Source organism: Homo sapiens, chromosome 5 (assembly GCF_000001405.40).
Source record: "Homo sapiens chromosome 5, GRCh38.p14 Primary Assembly".
Taxonomy (NCBI): Eukaryota; Metazoa; Chordata; class Mammalia; order Primates; family Hominidae; genus Homo; species Homo sapiens.
The window spans coordinates 175,609,113-175,617,898 of record NC_000005.10 but is presented as its reverse complement, the minus strand read 5'-3'; the positions used below and the strand labels follow the sequence as shown (position 1 = coordinate 175,617,898).

Sequence of the window (8,786 nt, the reverse complement as noted above, 5' to 3'; positions counted from 1 at the left end):
AGAGACTTGGGACCTAGTCCCGGGTGTTTCTGACTAGCCACGTGACTCTAGATAAGTCCCTTCCTCTCTCCAGGCCTCAGTTTCTCCACACAATCACCAGTTAATCTCCACCCGGCATTAATTTTCCCTCTTCTTCTAGACTGTCCTCTCTGCTCTCGCCCTCCTAGGCCTTGTTTCCCTGGAGGACTGCCCCGGGTGGGGCCTGCCCTGTGGCCCCATTGCCTACTTGGTGACTGCCACTGTGGCCTGCCCTCCAGTGGCTCAGATGGGGACATCCTGGGTTAGGTCAGAATCCAGGTGCAGAGCCCGCCAGAGCCGGGAAAGGCAAAGAGGGAAGGAAATGAGAAGAACAGATTGTAGCTGACTTAGCACCAAAGTATACCTGTTTGCCCAGAGGACAAAACAGAACCCTCCAGAATCTGGAGATTAACCCTCCACAACGGGGACCCCAGAAGATCAAATGCGTCATAGCTCGTGGGTGTGCAGTGCTGTGTACAGTTCACATAGCTCACTCATAGCCAGGTCTCTTCCCTGTTCATGACACTTGCTTCCTCAAACCCTCCTTCTCAGTGGAGACCCTCCTTCAGGGTCTCCAAGGAGGTCTCCGAGGACCCTCCTTCTCAGTGGGAACCACATCTGAACCTGCTCCTGGTTTCCAGCTGCAGGGGCTGCCTCCTGCCCACCCACCTTTCTGGCTCTGTGCATCCAGCCACACTGGCCTCTTCTCTGTTTTCCTGCAAAGCCAAGTTTGCTTGCACCACTTTGGCTGATAATTCTGCTTTTTAAAGGCTGGCCCCTTTCACTCTACTTCTCCGGGAGGTCACCCCAGTGAAAGCAGCACTCCCCAGACACTCTTGACCTTGTTCTGTATTCTGCAGGGCACCTTGACTCTGGGAGTCTCCTATTTGTGTATTTATTGTCTGCCCCCCTGCCCCAGTGTAAGCTCCATGAGGCCAGGGCCCTTGTCCCTCCATCACCACTGCCTTCGCAGGGGCAGGGCAGCGCCTGGAGCATAGGAGGTGCCAGTCATAGCTGCTGAGGGACTGAATGAGTGCATTCACACACATCTTCAAACTGCATCTTTCCATCTTTTTTTTTTTTTTTTCTGGCAGAGTCTTGCTCTGTCACCCAGGCTGCAGTGAAGTGGCACGATCTCGGCTCACTGCAACCTCCGTCTCGCAGGTTCTAAGCGATTCTGCTGCCTCAGCCTCCTGAGTAGCTGGGATTACAGGCGCCTGACACCACGCCTGGCTAATTTTGTATTTTTAGCAGAGACGAGGTTTCACCATGTTGGCCAGGCTGGTCTCAAACTCCTGATCTCAGATGATCCACCCGCCTCGGCCTCCCGAAGTGCTGGGATTATAGGTGTGAGCCACCACACCTGGCCCCATCTTTCCTTTTTTATGAGAGGAGGCTGAGGCCTGGGAGGAGCCATAATGTAGAGAGAATTTCTGAGGGAGCTGGCAGTGTGACTTGGACCCCAGACCACGTTGCAGAGAGGCTGAGGGAGGAGCGCAAGCTTCGGAAACAGGCACCTGGGTGTGGGAGCTTCCTCCGCTTTACTAGCTGTGTGACCTTGGGCAAGTGACTCACCCTCTCTGAGCCTCTTCTGTATCTGTGAAATCATCACTCAGGTGGGTGGTGTTCTGGGAAGATAGAATCTGATGAGTGAGTGTGAGTGCGCTGTGTGCTGATGAGGGTGTGGGGATGGTGGTGGTGTTCTTGTTTTTCCCAGACTCTATGATGCTTTGCCAGAGGTGGCCAAAAGGCTGTCAGGGGCTGCAGACCCTGCACCTTCCTAAAAAGCAACTCACAGCTCCACCTGGGATCTTCTGGGAGTTTGCAACCATGGCCTCTAAGAAAGCATAAAGGACTCTGGGCTATATATATATTTTTAATTGTATAATAGTAAAATACATGCAGCATTGATTATCTTAGCTATTTTCAAGTGTACAGTTCAGTGGCATTAAGTACATTCACACTGTGTGCCACCATCACCACCATCTATCGCCAGAGCTCTTTTCACCCTCCCCTGCTGAAACTCTGCACCCATGAAACGCTAACTCCCCATCCTCCTCCCCTCACAGCCCCTGGCAGCTGCCATTCTACTTCCTGTCTTTATGAGTTTCACTATTCCAGGTATATCACGTAGGTGGAATTAGAGTATTTGTTCTTTTGCGATGGGCTTATTTCACTCAGCATAATGTCCTCAAGGTCCATCCATGTAGCATGCATCAGAATTTCCTTCCTTTTTAAGACTGAGTACTATTCCATTGTGTATATGCCCCATATTGTTTATCCACTCATCTGTCGTTGGACATTCAGGTTGCTTCCACCTTTTGGCTATTGTGAGTAATGCTGCTATAAACACGGCTGTAGCTGGGAGCAGTGGCTCACACCTGTAATTCCAGTACTTTGGGAGGCCAAGGCAGGTGGCTCACCTGAGGTCAGGAGTTCAATATCAGCCTGGCCACCATGGCGAAACCCTGTCTCTACTAAAAATACAAAAATTAGCCAGCCGTGGTGGCGGGCGCCTGTAATGCCAGCTACTCAGGAGGCCGAGGCAGGAGAATCGCTTGAACCCGAGAGGCAGAGGTTGCAGTGAGCTGAGATCACGCCATTGCACTCCAATCTTGGTGACAAGACTGAAACTCCATCTCAAAACGTGTATAAATAAATAAATAAACATGGCTGTACAAATAGCCCTTTGAGGCCCTGCTTTCAATTCTTTTGAATAAATACCCAGAAGGGAAATTGCTGGATCATATGGTAATTCTATTTTTAATTTTTTGAGGAACAGCCATACTGTTTTACACAGAGGCTGCACAATTTTCCATTCCCATCGATGGTACACAAGGGTTCCAATTTCTCCATATCCATGCCAACATTTCTTATTTTCTATTTTTTTGATAGTAGCCATCTTAATGGGTGTGAGGTGATATCTCATTGTGGTTTTGATTTGCGTTTCCTTAGTGATTAGGGATGTTGACTTTCTTTGCATGTGCTTGTTGGACATATGAATATCTTCTTTGGAGAAATGTGTATTCAAGTCCTTTGCCCATTTTTTAATTGGGTTGTTTTGCTGTCGTTGAATCATAGTTGTTTATATATTTTGGTTATTAACTCCTCATCAGATATGTGATAGGCAAATACTCTCTCTAATTCCATAGGTTGCCTTTTCACTTGGTTGATTCTGTCCTTAGATGCACAGAACTTTTATATTTTGCTGTGGTCCAAGTTATCTATTTTTACTTTTGTTGCTTGTGCTTTTGATGTCATAGCCAAGAAAACATTGCCAAATCCAATGTCATAAAGCTTTTCCCCTGTGTGTTCTTCTAAGAGTTTTATAGTTCTAGACTATTTTAAAAGCCAAAGAAAAAGAAACATGGTAAAATGTCAAGCGATCTCAGTGCAGCTTGGAGCCCTCTGACTCAGATGCCCAAAGCCAAGAGTCTTGTGACTGGAGATCATTTGTGTCCAGTTTCCCGGCAGAGCAATGCAAGGCAGGCAGTGGGCATGCCGTCCGAGAGCTCCTTAAGTGCCTTGGTTTTCCCATCAGTAAGACGTTCCTGCTTCATGGATTTGTGAGGATTAAATGAGAAGGAATGTAAAGCAACTGACCCTTCCTGAGTGTCTGAAGCCCTGATCGCTCTGAGCTGTGCAGGGCCTCAGCTGGGTCGCCAAGAGAACTCTTGAAGATTTTTAGACCAGCCCAGTCTCTGCAAGCAATTCTTCCACGGAAGTCTGGCCCAATAATGAAAAAAGGAATTCTCAACTTTACAAACAGCACTAGAAAAGATTAAAGAGGATCTGATTCCTAACCCACTGGACACTTGTCCATTTTCCCTCCATCCTCAGCCAGCCCAAAGGGCTCCAGCCCCTTCCTCACCCAGCCGCACCCAATGCCCTCCACCCAGCAGGTACACGCTCTCCTGCCTCCTCCACTCTCTGAACACAGATGAACTCCTTTCTGATGTGCTCTTTTCTTTGCCCTTTTTCCTAGGCCTGGATCATATAAAGCTCTCGTGAGACCTGGAGAAGCAGCAATGGCAAAACCAGCATTGTCTATGGGAGGGGCTAGGATGTAAAAACAATCCAGGTTAATAAGTGTAAAAACATCCAGTCAGTCAACATGGGTTAACTTTGAAAACATTGTGCTGAGAAAAGGAACCAGTCACAAAAGCCCACATATGAGATGAAAGTCCAGAACAGGCAAATCTAGAGAGACAAAGTAGATTGTTGGCTACCTGGGGCAGGGGTGACAGCTAAGGGGTACAGGGTTTCTTTTTGGGGTGATGAAAATATTCTAAAACTGATTGTGATCATGGATACACAGCTCTGTGAATTCACTGAAAATGATTAAACTGTACACTTTAAATGGGCGAATTGGATGATGATACGGTTTGGCTGTGTCCCCACCCAAATCTCTTCTTGAATTGTAGCTCCCATAATTCCCATGTGGTGTGGGAGGGACCTGGTGGGAGATAATTGAATCATGGTGGCGGCTTCCCCCATACTGTTCTCATGGTAGTGAATAAGTCTCATGAGCTCTGATGATTTTATAAGGGAAACCCTTTTCACTTGATTCTCATTCTCTCTTGTCTGCCGCCATGTAAGACCTGCCTTTCACCTTCCACCATGATTGTGAGGTCTCCCCAGCCATGAGGAACTGTGAGTCCACTAAACCTCTTTTTATTTATAAATTACCCAGTCTCAGATATGTCTTTATCAACAGCGTGAAAATGGACTAATACAGATGGTATTTGAATTATATCTCAATAAAGCTGTTAAGAAAAATCTCTTCACCTACCAAAGATAAAACTGTGCTCCTAGGGACAAAGTTGCTGATCCAGGGTCACAACCAGCAAGTGACAAAGCTGCCACCCAAGACTAGTCGGCATGGCCTCAAGGGCTGCTTTATTCCTCTCTCCTGTGCTACCTCCCTCAAGGACAAGTGAGGAGGCAGAAGTTTGGCATTGTCCCTCTAAAATCTAAGGGGTATTAGCAAATATTTTAACAGTAGTATCTATGAGTGATCAGATTTGCTTTCTTCTTTGTTCTTTCTGTATTGTTTGAGTATTTTAATATCGTTTTTTATTAGAAAATGTTTTAAAAAGAATACATTATTCAAGAACTGTAGGTGACAGTAAGTTTCATGGGGGTCGGTAGTAAACAATTACTCCTGATTGCTCTGCTGAGGTGGCATGCTTTTTAATGTGGCAGGCATGAAACCACCTTTGCAAAATGACGTCAATGAGAAAATTGTGGCAGTGGGGGAGATCTGATTTAGCCAACCTGACTTGTGCCTTTAGCCTTCGAGCTGCCTTTGATTATTCCTGGGCTAGCTTTGGAAGACATTTAGTTTATAGTTTAAATGATAACAGCCCGGCCGGGCATGGTGGCTCACGCCTGTAATCCCAACAGTTTGGGAGGCTGAGGCAGGTGGATCACTTGAGGTCAGGAGTTTGAGACCAGCCTGACCAACATGGTGAAACCCCATCTTTATTAAAAATACAAAAATTAGCCGGGCGTGGCGGCGCACACCTATAATCCAAGCTACTTGGGAGGCTGAGGCAGGAGAATCGCTTGAACCCGGGAGGCAGAGGTTGCAGTGAGCCGAGATCGTGTCATTGCACTCCAGCCTGGGCAACAAGAAAGAAACTCTGTCTCAAAAAAAAAAAAAATGATGACAGCCCTTCCCCAAAACTCAACCACCTTCCTAAAGCTAATGAGAGGCTACCAGACTAGGAGAGGAGACGGAATTCTGCTAAGGTGTAGACATAAACAACTGCCAGCCATTATTCCAGAGGTCATAAGATACGCTACTCCCCCAGGCACTCCTGCAAATAACATCACTATGATAGAACCTAAGGTTGGCCTTTTGGAAATATCTTTTCAGGTTTTTTGCATGTCTGACACCTAGGGTTCCACAGGATCCACCCACCGATGGTGACTCCAACTGGACTCACCCACTCTCCTGTGGCCCCACCCAGAAGCGATTCAGGGCAGGAGGATCATTTCCCACACCGGTTGGATTATACCGCCCAACAAATCAGCAGCCACCCCACCCCTTTCCCCAGACTACCTGTGAAAAACCCTAGCCCCTGAATTCCAGGGAGACTGATTTGAGTAATAAGAAAACTCTGGTCTCCCGTTCAGCCAGCTCTGTGTGAATTAAACTCTCTCCATTGCACTTCCCCTGCCTTGATAAATCAGCTCTGTCTGGGGTGTGGGAAAGAGAACCCATTGGGTGGTTACAGGCGCTGTACTTAGTGCATGATGCATGACGTGGAGGCAATGATTGTCCTCATTTTACAGATGAGAGCATTGAGGTTTCAAGAAATGAAGTGGCCTGTCCAAGGAGGCACAGCAGGAGATAGCAGGGCCAGGATCTACCCCCAGGTCAGTGGGTTCCGGAGTCTGTTTCTGGAATTTAGGTTATTTCCCATGCCCATGGAGGCATACTGTCTAGATCAGTAGACACAAGGGTCTGGCCACTGGCCACACTCATTGGCCATGATGGTTAGTTCCAGACTCTGCCCTTGTGGAAGAGACTAAGTAGAGAGGAGATGGCACAGGGAGCCATGCTGTATAGGAGCAGTTGGGGGTCTGAGGAGGAGGGACCAGGGGCATAACACTGTCACTGCTTTGTCTTGGCCAGGCTGTGCTGGGGAGTGGGGGACTTTGTGAGGCCAAGGAGGAGAGACAGAGGGAGCTGCGACCAATGGTCAAACTTGGATGGGAGATAGGTTAGGATCTAACTGTCCAGAGATGGGATTGGGCAGCCTTGTGAAGTAGTGAGCTCCCCATCACTGGAGGCGTGCAAGCTGAGGTTTGATTTCAGCTTGGCAGAGATGGTGAGGGGTGGTTTTATGCATTGCATGGAGGTTGGATTCGATGATTGTATTAGTCAGCTTGTGCTGGGTAGAAGTCCCACCCTACCCCCACTCCACCAAATCTCAGTAGCTTACCACAAACAGTTATTTCTCATACATTGGTCTTCAGGTCAGCTGTGGCTCAGCTGGGCTTGAGTTCTTTTCAGAAAGAAGTAGGGGATGTGGCAACAAGCTAGCACCAAAGCATGAATGTAGCCAGGGAGAGATTCCCCATGGTGGGCAAGCAGCAGATAGATCTTAGGATAATAATGAATTTGGGAATAATATTCAAGTTGAAGCTATTGCCTCTGCTGCATGATGTGCAATAACTACCCTCCACCACCCTAAAACTTGAGTAAAATTCTGTTACGTACAGAAGCTTGTGTTCCTGGCAATGGGGGAGTGAAATGATCAGTCCAGCGTTCAGCATGGGAGAGAGTGGGAAGCAAAGGTAGCGTGGAGAGTGAGAACTCAGCAAAGGAGGAGATGAGCGCCAAGGCTAACTGAGGGAGAGGGAGATGTCTAGAATGGGGGTGTGAGTTATTTTCAAAGAATACGCTTAGCCCAGCAGGCTGGAGGGGACTCAAGGCCTCCAGGTGGCTGCCATCTGACTTACATTTGGGGTAGTTTTGTGCTCTATGGAGAGTCCTTTGCAGCTTGGGCTAGCCATCAACTAGCGCTGAGACAGAAGTGTCCTCACAGTGTTGGGGAGAACAGCCCAGGGATGGACAGACCCTCAGAACAGACCCCAAAGCCAGAATGGAGTCATTGCAGAGTCTGAAATCAGCCCTGGGATCTTTGTGGAGTCCCTCCACTGCAGGCTGGCTGTTCCAGGCACAGTGTCAAGGCAACTGCAGTGTTGAGAGAACTTTCTAGAACCCTTCGGCCAAGCAAGTCTCCTGAGGCAAACGTACAGGAGGCAGGACAACCCCAGGCAGCTCTCTTCCGGGGTAAGTCAGAATACAGTGTGACTGAGTCGGGAAGAAGGATGCACACAGTCCAGGGAGGCTGGAGGGGAGAAGCCGGCGAGCACCCCAGGAGCCTCCACACAGGCTACCTGTGAGCAGGGCCTGGGAGGATGGAGCAGAGTTTATCCGATAGCAGCAGGGAGGAAGGGCTTCTTAGGCGGAAGGAGGAACGTGAGGTGGAATGTAAAGGAGCATGACACACAGCCTCACTAGTTAACAGGAGCTTTTTATCTCTTTTCCCATGTATTTCTCATTCCTGTTAAAAATGGAAAATGTATTCAGATGTATGCTAATTACGCACCCCACACCCAGAATAGAAAAAGTCGTAGGCAGAGGCTGCAAAATTGTCACTCCTGCGGTAGCTTCTCGCGGTGAGAGATCACAGAGGCTGTGGCTTCCGAGGAAGGTCCTCAGACACCAGTACTCTAAGCCACCCTTGGGGCAGCCACACTCAGTGGAAAAGTCACAGACTGTGCAGCCTCACGGACCAGGGTTCAAGGCCGGATGCTGGCACTTTTAGGCTGCGTGACCTTGGACAGGTCATTTTGCCTCTCTCAATTTGCATTCCCAAAATCTAAAATAAGGATGCAGGATAAGGAGACAGGCCCATCCTCCTGTCACTGTGTCTCCTCCAGGGCCAAGTGCTTGGACTGTCTCCCCGAGAGTATGTCAACTGGAGGCCCAAGGCCACCTCTTCCTTGATCTAGAGGCTGCCTGGATGCCTGACCCAAAGCACAAGAGCACCTTGATCCCTCTTTTACTCTGTTGTTAAAGAGACCTTTAAGCAAGTGAGAGCAACCAAGCAGGCAAACACACCCATCTTCCCTCCTAGAACTCAGGCCAGCTTCCTGGTAACTTCTCACCAGGGCCAGCAGCACCAGCTCCATCAACGGGACCTGGATTCCTGTGTCCCTGGCTTCAGGGTGAGGCCCAGAATGGAACT

At 48.5% G+C, this 8,786-nt stretch overlaps 1 annotated feature.

Moving 5' to 3' along the window:
* Window positions 472–667: a silencer, noted in NCBI's record as "fragment chr5:175044235-175044430 (GRCh37/hg19 assembly coordinates)". NCBI's record gives its function as "represses an EF-1alpha promoter that drives an FKBP-Casp9 reporter gene in an ReSE screen in phorbol 12-myristate 13-acetate-treated (for megakaryocytic differentiation) K562 erythroleukemia cells {active_cell/tissue: K562(+PMA)}" and the evidence as "EXISTENCE:reporter gene assay evidence [ECO:0000049][PMID:32094911]".